Source organism: Homo sapiens, chromosome 10, assembly GCF_000001405.40.
Source record: "Homo sapiens chromosome 10, GRCh38.p14 Primary Assembly".
Taxonomy (NCBI): Eukaryota; Metazoa; Chordata; class Mammalia; order Primates; family Hominidae; genus Homo; species Homo sapiens.
The window spans coordinates 75,195,389-75,209,126 of NC_000010.11; the positions used below are offsets into that span (position 1 = coordinate 75,195,389).

Genomic DNA, 13,738 nt, shown 5'->3' on the forward strand with positions numbered 1-13,738 from the left:
TTTGATTCAGACAAACCAACTCTTGTTAACTGGACCTAGTCATTCTGAATTAACTATGCTTGAAGTTCTTGGCACTGCAGAGAGCAGAGTGATTCATCTAAATGGTGTATCTTTGTAGCTTGTCTCATAAAATTGCTGGAAATGCAGATAAATCGATGTTGTTTTGGAGGTGACGGTGGCGTCCCTGGTACATTTTGGCCTCTATATTTGAATTTCATAAACCCGGTGGCTTTCTACTTGTAGGGCAGCTGTGGCAGCAGCCTCAACTCTCAACAAGAACTCCTCCTACCTTCCCCTCCTCCAACCCCCCAAAAAAACTACAACCACAAAAGCCCACATCTGTATACATACACATACACGTAGAACTTCCCTGTTACATAAGGGCTTAAATGAAGAAAAACAGAGACTGGTCATGGAGGATCATCCAGTTAGAACAGAAGAAGGATCCTGTGGGGAGGAGACCTTGCTACACATGAGCTCCCTTACCTATAAGAGCGAGGAGGTGGCCGGTGCGGTGGCTCACACCTGTAATCTCAGCACTTTGGGAGGCTGAGGCGGGTAGATCACTTGAGGTCAGGAGTTCGAGACCAGCCTAGCCAACACGGTGAAACCCCGTCTCTACTAAAAACACAAAAATTAGCCGGGTGTGGTGGCGGGCACTTGTAATCCCAGCTACTTGGGAGGCTGAGGCAAGAGAATCGCTTGAACCCGGGAGGTGGAGGTTGCAGTGAACCAAGATGGCGCCACTGCACTCCAGCCTGGGCAATAGAGCAAGACTCAGTCTCAAAAAAAAAAAAAAAAAAAAAAAGAGCAAGGAGGCCTTTAGGGCTGGGCTATGCCCCCAAAGTAGGGCCGTAGGCATTTCTTCCTGCTGTGACTTACAGCTGGAAGTAAAATGTCCTGGTGCTATGGTTTCAAGGAACTAATGAGATTTTGGGAAGAGCTGGAGTAAGTGAAAATAACCTTTTCTCCCCTCTGAGAGCAATGCTGGACTCCTGGGACAGAGTGAAGCCCTTAACTGAGCCTCCACAGAGGCCAGGCCACAGCTAGACACATAGGCAGAAGATCTAAGAATTCCAGTAGCTTCCTCCTACAAAGACCTGCAACAGGTTAGTTTGGGAGCCACCACTCCTGAGCTGTGGTTTCCCTTGCCAAGTCAGACTCCTTGGGAAAACTCTAAAACTAAGGTGGCCTGACATGCTGCACTAATGGAGAAGGCCAGGAAAGCCTGGATTCTGTGTGTCCTCATTGTGCTCCCTCATCGATACACTGTCTCTCACCAGCCTTTGGAATTTCCTTCCTTTGGTTTTCTGCCATTTTTTTCTACTTTTGCTGAACTTGAGTCTGAGGCTTTCACTGCTCAAACCGCCCTTCCAGGTTGTATTTAACAGGGCTTAACAAGCACCACCAGGCTGGGCGCAGTGGCTCACGCCTGTAATCCCAACATATTGGGAAGCTGAAGTGGGAGGATCCCTTGAAGCCAGACCAAGCAACATGGTAAGACCCTCTTGTTCCTGGACCAAACTGAGGGTTGGGCTGCTATTTCTCATGGCCCAGTAACAAGATGCAGATGAACTAGGGAGGAAGAGAGTTTTTATTTCTGCAACCAGTGCAAAGGCCTGGAAATTATCACCAGACCAACTCAAAATTACAAAGTTTTCCAGAGCTTATATATGTTCCAAACTATATGTCTTTGTGTAAGTGTGCACATTGTGACACAGGAAGGAGGGGAGATAAAGTGGGAAGAGCCTCAGATGGCAACACAGTTCTAAGAAAGTTCAGCCAGGACAAAAGGTCATCCTCAAGCCAAAGCTGCAGCCTGTTAGAGGAGTCCCGGGTTTTGCAGGGGTGGCCCTGCATGAGTGTAGGTCTTTGGCGGGGAGCAGCCTGCCTGGCATCAGTAGGTCCAGAGCCCAGCAGCTGCAGCAGTCAGCCCTCTGCTCCTCACAACAGCAGATCGGAACAGCACCTTTCTATGATTGCCACAGTGGGCCTGGAAGAACTGGTTAAATTTCAGGGTGGGAATGATATTTAATGCAGCATACTTTTTTAGTCTCTCAAGATCCTTCTGTAAAAAACTGGAGCCATACTGCATTCTCTCAGAGACTCATCCTGCACAAAAGTGGGGCTCTGAGAAGTTACACTTACAAAATGGGTTAATCTTGGTTTAATCCAAAGTTTCCCCAACCTATTTGATCACAGAGCTCTTTCTGTATATGTAAATTATATTAATGACATGTGTAATTATTCAACAAAGCTGTGCTGGCTTAGAAAGTTAAGTTTAGGCCATGCCGTGGAGAGCTTTAACCTGTATGTTACCTGGTATGTGGGTTGCTTCATGGAGAGGTTCTGAAAAGGGGAGTCATGTACTCAGAGCTGTGTTCATCTCGCAGTGGGGTGTAGTGGGGATTGGAGCGAGAGGGTGGTCCTCAAAAGTCCTCAAAGTCATGGCTGATCAGTCCTTACAGCCATAACTAGCCCTGACACTGCCTCAGTTTCCAGACATAGGATGTGACTCATTTGAAATCCAATTGCTTTACTTCCCACCAAAGCTCTAGGAGAACTCAAATTGGTGGGAGAGATGGTGGGTCACCCAGTATCAAACTGACCAAACTCCTACAGCCAGAATAATGGCCCTTTGTCCCTCTGGCCTCCTCATCAGCTTCCCTCTGTATTGAGTGTCCAGGCGGCTGCCAGCCAAATTGCCTGTGTGACTTTCCCAGGCTTCAGAATGCTCCCTTTCCCTCCTTCCATTGCCTCCCACACTGGCCCCAGAGACACAGGGCAGCCACATAGTAGATTCAGGCAGCTGTGGGATGTGAATCACGAGACATTCTCAGTGGTGACCCAGTGAAAGGTCTTGGAGAAGCCCCCTCCCTGCTGCCCAATTTACCCTCACTGTGGAAGCTCCTGTCCTCACTACAAATTTAAAAGGAAAGAATTTTGAAGGCAACTCTGTCAATGGATGCAAGTCATGACTGGAATAGTCCAAAGCAGTGGACTCTTTAAATGTTGTATAAATATTACTAGTCACCCTCCATGGGGAAGGCTTTGACAATGAGGAGGCAATATAAGTGGTGGCTCAGAGTATGCGCCTCACACTCAGAGAGAGCTGGCTTAGATTCTGTCTCTAGCTCTTGAAGAACTAGCTATGCATCCCAAGCCAGGCCTGTGCATCTCCGTAAGCTTGTGTTTCACGCTTAATGGTACCTGTCTCATAGGGTTGTTATGAGAATTAAATAGGCCGGCCATGGTGGTGGGTGCCTGTAATCCCAGCTACTTGGGAGGCTGTGGCAGGAGACTCACTTGAACCTGGGAGTCAGAGGTTGCAGTGAGCCACGATCGTGCCACTGCGCCCCAGCCTGGGTGACAGAGCAAGACTCCATCTCAAAAAAAAAAAAAAGAGAGAGAGAATTAAATAAAGCACATGAATTGTTTCGAGCAATGCCTGGCACAAAGGAAGTGCCTGATATGTGTTAGCCATGACTACTTTGATTGTGTTTATTATTCATGACTAGTGTCATCATTATTAGATATTTGGTGGGTGGTGGGGATAGAGTTGAGTAAGAAACAATTCTCAGCCGGGCGCGGGGGGCTCACAATTGTAATCCCAGTACTTTCAGAGGCTGAGGCGGGTGGATCTCCTGAAGTCAGGAGTTTGAGATCAGCCTGACCAACATGGAGAAACCCCATCTCTACTAAAAATACAAAATTAGCCAGGCGTGGTGGCACATGCCTGTAATCCCAGCTACTTGGGAGGCTGAAGCAGGAGAATCACTTGAACCTGGGAGGCGGAGGTTGTGGTGAGCTGAGATCACGCCATTGCACTCCAGCCTGGGCAACAAGAGTGAAACTCTGTCTCAAAAAAAAAAGAAAGGAGGGCAGGACAGGGCAGGGCAGGGCAGGGCAGGGCAAGATTCTATTGAAGAGCTTGATGGGGAAAGCAGAGTTGTGGTTTTTGGTTTTTTTTAGTATAAAAAAAAAAGTGGGCTGGGGATAGTGGCTCATGCCTGTAATCCCAGAACTTTGAGAGGCCGAGGCAGGAGGATCACTTGAGCCCAGGAGTTCAAGACCAGCCTGGACAATATAGAGAGACCCTGTCTCTACAAAAATAAGAAAAATAGCCAGGTATGGTGGTGCACGTGCCTGTAGTCCCAGCTACTTGGAAGGCTAAGGTGAAAGGATTGCTTGAGCTTGGGAGGTTAAGTCTGCAGTGAGCTGAGATTGCGCCACTGCATTTGTTTTGAAAAATAAGAGAAAAGAAAAAAAAGAAAAAAAGAATATAAAAAGGAAAGGAAGAAAAGAAAAACGAAAATATTGTGTTAATGATGTTCACTCGGAAAATTAAAAAAAAAAAGAAAATATGTAATAAATGTTATAAGGTAACAAATTCCATAGAATTTCAGAGGAAATAAAATGAACTTGTAGCTGGTAAGACAGAAGAAAATTGTGGTGGGAGTATATTTGAGCTGGGCTTTATAAGGATTCAGAGAATTTAACTTAAAACAGTGGGGACAAGGAGGCATTCTAGGTACAGTGAGCATAAGCAATGGCAGTGACACTAAACAAACCGTGATTTGGGAATTGCCTGTGACCTGAATTGGCACAGGTGGCAGGTGGGAAACATGACTGTGACAGAGGCAAGATAGGATCATGGTTCCATCATCATTGTGTCAGGGACCTTATCCTATGGGTAAATGGGAGCCACTGAAGATCCTTGAGCAGGAGTCTCTGCGTTATCCCCACTATTGGGGCTAAGCATTCCCACAGAATGTGCTGAGCTTTTTTTTTTTTTTTTTGAGATGGAGTTTCACTCTTATTGCCCAGGCTGGAGAGCAATGGCGCTATCTCAGCTCACTGCAACCTCTGCCTCCCAGGTTCAAGTGATTCTCCTGCCTCAGCCTCCTGAGTAGCTGGGATTATAGGTGTGCGCCACCACGGCCCGCTAATTTTTATATTTTTAGTAGAGATGGGGTTTCACCATGTTGGTCAAGCTGGTTTCGAACTCCTGACCTCGTGATCCGCCTGCCTCGGCCTCCCAGAGTGCTGGGATTATAGGCGTGAGCCACTGCGCCCAGCTGTGCTGAGCTTTTTAAAGAAACAAAACAGTGTTTCACCAGTGTTCCAACCAGAACTCTGAGCAAGGCCACAGGTTACTGACTGAACAATGAATAGGAAAGCCTTTTTTTTTCTCTTTTTTGAGACAGGGTCTCACTCTGTCACCCAGGCTGGAGTGCAGTGGCGCGACCTCAGCTCACTGCAACCTTCGCCTCCTGGGCTCAAGCGACCCTCCCACCTCAGCCTCCCAAGTACCTGGGAGCACAGGTGTGTGCCACCACACCCAGCTAATTATTTTGTATTTTTTGGTAGAGATGGAGTTTTGCCATGTTGCCCAGGCTGGCCTCAAACTCCTGAGGTCAAGTGATCTGCCCGCCTCAGCATCCCAAAGTTTTGGAATTACAGGCATGAGCCACTGAGCCTGGCTGGAAAGTCCCTTTTTTTTTTTTTCTTTTTTAATTGAGACCGAGTCTGGCTCTTGTTGCCCAGGCTGGAGTGCAGTGGCATGATCTTGGCTCACTTGGCTCACGATCTTGGAGGATCAACCTCCACCTCCTGGGTTCAAGCAATTCTCCTGCCTCAGCCTCCCAAGTAGCTGGGATTACAGGCATGCGCCACCACGCCCAGCTAATTTTTGTATTTTCAGTAGAGATGGGGTTTCACCATGTTGGTCAGACTGCTCTCGAACCCCTGACCTCAAGTGATCTGCCCACCTCGGCTTCCCAAAGTGCTGGTATTACAGGCGTGAGCCACCGCACCCGGCGGGAAAGTCCTTTTATATCAAACTTTATATCAACTCTGAATGGTTAAACTGGGATATCAGTTGAGAGGAGCTGCATGAAGCTTGTACTTAACTTGTGTCCTGACTGTTGAGCTATAACTCCATTATCTGCTTTAATAATCACATTGTATATTAAAGACTAAATCGGGCAGATTAACCCTGAATGTGATCTGGAAAGCCGCAGAATGCTCCTCCTTTCTCCCAGTCACTCCTAGGATTTGATAGACAGTCTAGATCAGTGGTTTTCATGTTTTAGTGTGGCTAAAAATGGCAGCCCGAGGTTGTATACCCAAAACCAGGCACACTGTCCTTTATGCATGATTTAATGGATTTTCACAGGCACTGGCTTGACTTTTGAGCCCACTGAACCCTAGCATGCCCCGCACCTCTGGCCGTTGGCCCTAACTCCCCAAAATATGAGTTCATCTGTTCATTTCTGCTCTTCCTAGTTTTATCCCAGTCTTGTCTGCACTTCCTTCTCCTTGGTTTGAACTTCTACTGTTGCCCTCCTCACCCCATCCCATTGTGCCCCTCTAGAAGCCTGTGCTGTTGTTAACAAACTACCCTAAGTTCTCAGCTGCACCACTGAATGCTCTTTCACTCTCCTCACCTTTCCCCGTGGATACTGGAGCCCAGGGAAGACTCCCTTCCACACCCCACGACTGGACTGGGGCTGGGAGGGGGCCACTTACTTCGCTCGTCACCTCCTATAAGATCACCTGCTTCGAGGTTCATGCCATCAGCTCTGCCATCCTTTACTTCCTGCCATCCTTTATGGCCAGCTTCCTGGTCACACCTCCATGTCCCCTGAAGACTTTGGTACCTGACTCATCGTTGTCCTCCTCATCTCTTATCCTGGCAACACCCTGGTGACATCAGTACCTCTGTCAATAACCTGTGCCGACCCCACCACTGTTTGCTGGGTGTGTGTGGGGGGGGTGCATAGCTTCAACATCTTAGCCTCAGCTACAGCCCTGATCACCTCAGCTCCACTGGGCTTCACTTCACTCCACGCTTCTACAGCTGCTCACCACCTTGAATGTGCCATGGCGAAATCTTGCCTCCCTGTGTCTCACATTCTAACCATAACCCCAGCTTGCAGTCCTCTCTCTCTCTCTCTCTCATTTCATCCTAACATGTTTCAATCACAGGAAGATTCTCAGTCCCTAGCCCCAGTATTGCCCTTCAACCTAGGAAGAGGGGCCCCTCCCCTGGCCCTCATGTTTTGGAGGGCCCCCCCTGGGTCTCATGTTTTGGAGGGCCCCTGCCTTGAGTCTCAGGCTTTGGAGGGCCCCCCTGGGTCTCATGCTTTGGAAGGCCCCACCAGAACCCTTCTCAGGTTGTGCCCATTCCTATGAGGTGAGGAGCCTGCAGGGCCCAGTGAACATGCCCACCAGAGCCCATGCCCACCCTCTCCATATCTAGACCAAACTCTGCATACAGGAGACCTCAGAATTCCTATTTGAAGCCATCCTGAGCCTGCTTCTGGGGCCTGCATGGACTTTCCCTCAGAGTCCCTCCTTCAGAAGATGGACTGAACTGCCAGTGACATACCCCTAAGCCGTTGGGGTGGTCAAGCAGGGTATGTATGTGATGGGGAGAGAGCTTGGATGTGCAGGCTAGGGTGTGCCCCTCCCAGTGTGGGACAGAGGCCAGGGGCAGGAAGAGGAGTGTGTGTCTAGGGCTGGCTCTCCCTGCATGACCTCATCTGGCACAGGCAGGAGGAGGACTGAGTCCTAATAAGGGAACCTCCAAGTTTGCCTGGCTGGATTTCAGAATCTCTGTGGACCTGTGACTTCTGGGTACCTCCTGTTTCCCCCTTTTTGAACAGGGGTGTCTGTAGCAGTTATGCTGTGCCTATCCCACCATTGTGTGTTGATATCTCTTTAGTTCACAGGTCTTCAGATGGAGAGGAACTGCTGTACTCAAGGAACTACACCCAAGGAGCCTCATGTGGCTACCGTGAAGGCTGGGATCTCGGGGAGGTTTTGGGAGGGAGTGAGTATGTTTTCCATGTGGGAGGAATGAAAGTAAATGTGACCATGGCATAGGCTGTGAGGATTTAAAGAATATCCACAAATTGACACTCCTTTCAAAAGATAGGCTGTGGGGGCCTGGTGCAGTGGCTCACTCCTGTAATCCCAGCACTTTGGGAGGCTGAGGTGGTTGGATCACGAGGTCAGGAGTTCAAGACGAGCCTGGCCAAGATGGTGAAACCCTGTCTCTACTAAAAATACAAAAAATTAGTCGGGCGTGGTGGCCGACGCCTGTAATCCCAGCTACTCAAGAGGCTGAGGCGGAGAATTGCTTGAACCCAGGAGGCAGAGGTTGCAGTGAGATCGTGCCACTGCACTCCAGGCTGGGCAACAGGGCGAGACTCCAACTCAAAAAAAAAAAAAAAAAAGGCTGTGGGGATTTAAAGAATATCCACAAATTTTTTGATACTCCTTTCAAAAGCTAGAGCCTAACTTCCCCCTCTTGAGTGTGATCTGGTCTTACTAACTCACTTCTAACAAACAGAATAAGGCAGAAATGATAGTGCGATTTCTGAGGCTGGATCATATAAGACATTGTGGCTTCAGTGTCTCTCTCGGATCACTTGCTCTGAGAGAAGCCAGCGGCCATGTCACAAGGACACCCAGGCGGCCACATGGAGAAGCTCACATGGCAAGGAACTAAGGCCTCCTGCCAAAAGCCACATGAGGGTGCCATCCTGAAAGCAGGTCCTTGAGTGCCGTTAACCCTTCAGATGATTGCAGCCCCAGCTAGCATCTCAACTGCAACCCCCTGAGGGGCCCCAAGCCAGAACCACCCATATAAGCCAGTCCTTAATTTTTGACCCACAGAAACTTTCAGATAATAAAATGCTTGTTTTAGGCCATTAAATTTGGGGGCAATTTGTTACACAGTAATCGCAGCTAATGCTGCTATTTCTTTTATTTATTATTATTATTAAAGACAAGGTTTTGATCTCTCGCCCAGGCTGGAGTGCAATGGCACAATCATAGCTCACTGTAACCTCAAACTCCTGGGCTCAAGCGATCCTCCCAGCCTTAACCTCCCGAGTAGCTGGGACTACAGGCACGTACCACTGTGCCTAGCTAATTTTCATTTTTTGCAGAAATGAGATCTTGCCATGTTGCCCATGCTGGTCTCAAACTCCTGGACTCAAGTGATCCTCCTGCCTTGGCCTCCCAAAGTGCTGGGATTATTGGTGTGAGCCACTGTGTCTGGCCCTAATGCTCTCTGCCCTTGCCTCACTTGACCTCTCCTCAGTTTGTGACACTGTTGAGCACTCCCTTCTCTACCCAGTGCTCTCTTCCTCTGGCTTCCACGAAAATGCTCCTCTTGAGTTCTCTTTTTATCCTCCTGGCTAGTCTTTGTCAGTTCTCTTCATTAGCTCCTTCTCTGCTGCTTGCCCCTAAAAGACTAATGCTCCAGGCTGGGCACTGTGGCTCACACCTGTAATCCCAGCACTTCAGGAGGCCAAGGCAGGTGGATCACGAGGTCAGGAGTTCGAGACCAGCCTGGTGAACATAGTGAAACCCTGTCTCTACTAAAAATACAAAAAAATTAGCCAGGTATGGTGGCACATGCCTGTAGTCCCAGTTACTCCGGAGGCTGAGGCAGAGGTTGCAGTGAGCCAAGACAACGCCATTGCATTCCAGCCTGGGTGACAGAGTGAGACTCTGTCTCAAAACAACAACAACAACAAAAGACTAATGCTCCCCATGGCCTCGTCCTTTAGGCTGCTAGTGTCTTTATTCCTATCCCATAGCTCACTGACTTAAACCACACCCATGGTTAGTCATAATTAAAACTAACTTTTACACCCATGCTTCTGAGCCAGACCTTTCTCCAAAACTTCCTAACTGCCTATTGGACAACTGCATTGCGATGTAGACCTGGCTCCTCATATTCATCCAAAATGGTATCATGGTCTTCACCATTACACCTGCCCCTCTTCCTGCAGACTTTCCCACAGTGGGTGGAACCTTTGTCCTCCCCATTGCTTAAATCAGAAATATTGCTCCCAGCCACCCTAGACTTGTCCTCACTTGCTGCTTTCAGGACCTTCAGCATTTGGCTCCAGCCAACATCTTTAGTCTAATTTCTCAACTTTTTTGATAGCTTGTTCCAGCTTTACTTAATTACTTGTGGTTTCCACCAGGCCCTGTGGTACACACCTGTAGTCCCAGCTACTCATGAGGCTGAGGCAGGAGGATCGCTTGGGAGTTTGAGAACAGCCTGGGCAATGCAGGGAGACCCTGTTTCAAAAACAAACAAACAAAAAACTGGCTGGGCGCAGTAGCTCACACCTGTAATCTCAGCACTTTGGGAGGCCGAGGCAGGCAGATCACCTGAGGTCAGGAGTTTGAGACCAGCCTGGCCAATATGGCGAAACCCTGTCTCTACTAAAAATACAAAAATTAGCCGGGTATGGTGGCACGTGCCTGTAGTCCCAGCTACTCAGGAAGCTGAGGCGGGAGAATCACTTGAACTCGGGAGGCGGAGGTTGCAGTGAGCCAAGATTGTGCCACTGTACTCCAGCCTGGGTGACAGAGCGGGACTGTGTCTCAAACAAAAACAAAAACAAATCAAAAGCAAAAAAATCATATGTGGTTTCCAAACAATTCTTGCCACTTCAAGCACTCCTATGATTTTGCACATCCTCTTTCTAGAATTTTGCCTTCCCAGCCTCCACCTGTTGGCTTTCTAATTTTGGTAAGTCCTGCTTTCAAACTTTAGTGCAAGTAGCTCCTCCATCTGACTGTGCTCAAGGTTCTCTGTATTTACATCTTAGAACTGTACTTGCAGGAGCCGAGTGTGGTGGCTCACACTTGTGATCCAGCTACTTGGGAGGCTGAAATGGGAGGATTGCTTGACGTCAGGAGTTCAAGACCAGCCTGGGCAACACAGCAAGACCCTGCTCCCCACAAAAATACTGTACTTGTGACATCTTGAGCTTGTCTTTCCCATACCCCATCCTTTGTTGGGGCCAATTCTCCATGGTGTTTCTACCCATCTTATGGCAGCTTTTGTCTCAGACTATCTTTCCAAGGATGTTTACTTAGCAAACAGCCTTGGAAGATAGTATCTCTCTCTGGGGCAGAGAAAAGATTTTATTTCCTGAGCAGTATAATAATCTCCCCCTCAGGGATTGTGAACCCCGAAAATTTGAGAAATTTCAGAATTTAGAATTTAAATTTGAGAATTTAGAAAGTTTATTTTGCCAGGTCAGGCATAGTAGCTCATGCTTATAATCCTAGAACTTTGGGAGGCCAATGTGGGTGGATCACCTGAGGTCAGGAGTTCGAGAGCAGCCTGGCCAACATGGTGAAACCCCATCTCTACTAAAAATACAGAAATCAGCCGGGTGTGATGGCAGGTGTCTGTAATCCCAGCTACTTGGGAGGCTGAAGCAGGAGAATCGCTTGAACCTGGGAGACGGAGGTTGCATTGAGCTGAGATTGTGCCACTTCACTCCAGTGTGGCAGTGTGGGCGAAAGAGCGAAACTCTATCTCCTCTGTCTCAAAAAAAAAAAACAAAAAGCAAAAAAAAAAAAACCTGGCGCCGTGGCTCACGCCTGTAATCCTAGCACTTCGGGAGACCGAGGTGGGCGGATCACCTGAGGTCAGGAGTTTGAGAGCAGCCTGGCCAACACAGTAAAGCAGCCATCTCTTTAGTGTGGTAAAATTACAAAAATTAGCCGGGCGTGGTGGTGGCGCTCCTGTAATCCCAGCTACTCAGGAGGCTGAGGCTGAAGAATCGCTTGAATCCAGGAGGCAGAGGTTGCAGTGAGCAGAGATCACACCATTGCACTCCAGCCTGGGTGGTAAGAGCGAAACTCAGTCTCAAAAAGAGAAAAAAAAGAAAGTTTATTTTGCCGAGGTCGAGGACACTTAGCCTTGACACAGCCTCAGGAGGTCTTGACGACATGTAACCAAGGTGGTCAGAGCACAGCTTGGTTTTATACATTTTAGAGAAACGTAAGACATCAATCAACATATGTAAAATAAACATTGGTTCGGTCAAGAAAGGCAGGACAACTTAAAGTGGTCAGGAAGGGCGGGACAACTCGAAGTGGGGAGAGGGCTTCCAGGTCACAAGTAGGTGAGAGACAAATGGTTGCAATGAGTTTCTGATTAGCCTCTCCAAAGGAGGCAATCAGATACGCATTTATCTCAGTGAGCGGAAGGATGACTTTGAACAGAATGGGAGGCAGGTTTGCCCTAAGCAGTTCCCAGCTTGACTTTTCCCTTTAGCTTAATGATCTTGGGGGCCCAAGATATTTTCCTTTCACAGTATGAAGGTTGGGCAGATTTGTTAGCAGCTCCTTCTAAGACACGTGGTTTTGTAAGCTTAGGGTTCCTTGGCTGTGACACGAATGCATGCTGTGCACAGCATCCACCTAAGCTGCTCTGGCATCATCCTTGAGGGACACAGAGGACAGGGGGAATTGAGGCAAAACACGAAGCTTACACTGCCTGCTGGGCCACAAGTAAGAGAGTCTTTTGTCCTTGACCCATACGTCTCATGTCTTCTGCTAGCATCTGTGAGCCTCTGAAACTATGGCAGACTAACTTGATAGTTTGCAAGTAGGGTAAACTTTTGGACCCTCCCCTGTTCTTGACATCTTTACACACACTTGACTGTTAAGTGCCTTGAGAGTAGGGACTGTGTCTCAGTGGACTTTGCTTACCCTGTGGATGACACAAAGTAGTTGCTTGTGGTAGGTAGTAACTACCTACTAATGCCGCTTTGGTCTAAAGGACTTTGGATGTAAGCACTCATATTTATTTACTAAATTCAGCTCTGGAAAAAACTGCCATTATTCCCCTGTTTAGCCACAGATCTTCTTCCCCTGGTCATTAGGTATTGTGTACATTCCTTGGGTTTGCAGAAGGTGAAGCCACAGAGAAAGTGAAGTGCAGGGGGCTACAAATTGCTACAGAAAATTCACATTGTGAATAAGCCCTGCTGCAGGTAGTGGAGGTGACTCATTTATCAGACTGGGTGTTTCGGGGAGGTAGGGTGCTGTGGTGCAGTTGGGATGGAAATGCCGGTCTTTGTTGTTAGCCTCACAATAACATCAAACATACCAGACTATTTCCCAGAAGAGCCAGGATGACTGCAAACCGACCTGTCTGAGCTCGAATGAAGGAATGAATGAGGGCTTCTGGTGCCTGATGTCTTAGAAGTAAATTCTGCTAACCTTTTGCAACATGAGTAAGCCCAGTCATGACCAGGCAAGACAGCTGGCTGGGCTTGCTCATGGGAGGGAAATCTTCCAGGCTGCAGCTTTCATCTGGGTTTTGAACTGTGGAAGCCTATCCTTTTCTGGTTTAGGAGGAGGGTAGAACGTTGAGAGCATTTGAGCAGACATGGCTTTCAGAGCCAGAGAAAGTCAAGGGGGAAAAGGCTTTGCTCAGAGACTATGGCTGATGGCTATTAAAGATCACTTCGTTTCATTTGTCATTTTATAGATTAAAAAAATGAGGTAGGCCGAGCGCGGTGGCTCACACCTGTAATCCCAGCACTTTGGGAGGCCGAGACTGGCAGATCACGAGGTCAGGAGATCGAGACCATCCTGGCTAACATGGTGAAACCCCGACTCTACTAAAAATACAAAAAATTAGCCGGGCGTGGTGGCAGGCACCTGTGGTCTCAGCTACTCGGGAGGCTGAGGCAGGAGAATGGCGTGAACCCGGAAGGTGGAGATTGCAGTGAGCCGAGATCGCGCCACTGCACTCCAGTCTGGGCGACAGAGCGAGACTCCGTCTCAAAAAAAAAAGAAGAAAACCCAAAAAAACCACTGAGGTCTACCGGCGACATTATTGGATAGATGACTGCTTTGGGAGTTCCAGTTGAACCCATTTCTATTTCATTAGACTGCT

At 48.2% G+C, this 13,738-nt stretch overlaps 2 annotated features.

The window, feature by feature from the left end:
* Nucleotides 11,669-12,418: an enhancer, noted in NCBI's record as "OCT4-NANOG-H3K4me1 hESC enhancer chr10:76966815-76967564 (GRCh37/hg19 assembly coordinates)". NCBI's record gives its function as "activates a minimal SCP1, AML or CMV promoter by ChIP-STARR-seq in naive H9 embryonic stem cells {active_cell/tissue: H9 hESC(naive)}" and the evidence as "EXISTENCE:reporter gene assay evidence [ECO:0000049][PMID:30033119]".
* Nucleotides 12,583-12,877: a silencer, noted in NCBI's record as "tiled region #10124; K562 Repressive non-DNase unmatched - State 6:EnhF". NCBI's record gives its function as "represses a minimal TATA promoter and a strong SV40 promoter by Sharpr-MPRA in K562 cells {active_cell/tissue: K562}" and the evidence as "EXISTENCE:reporter gene assay evidence [ECO:0000049][PMID:27701403]".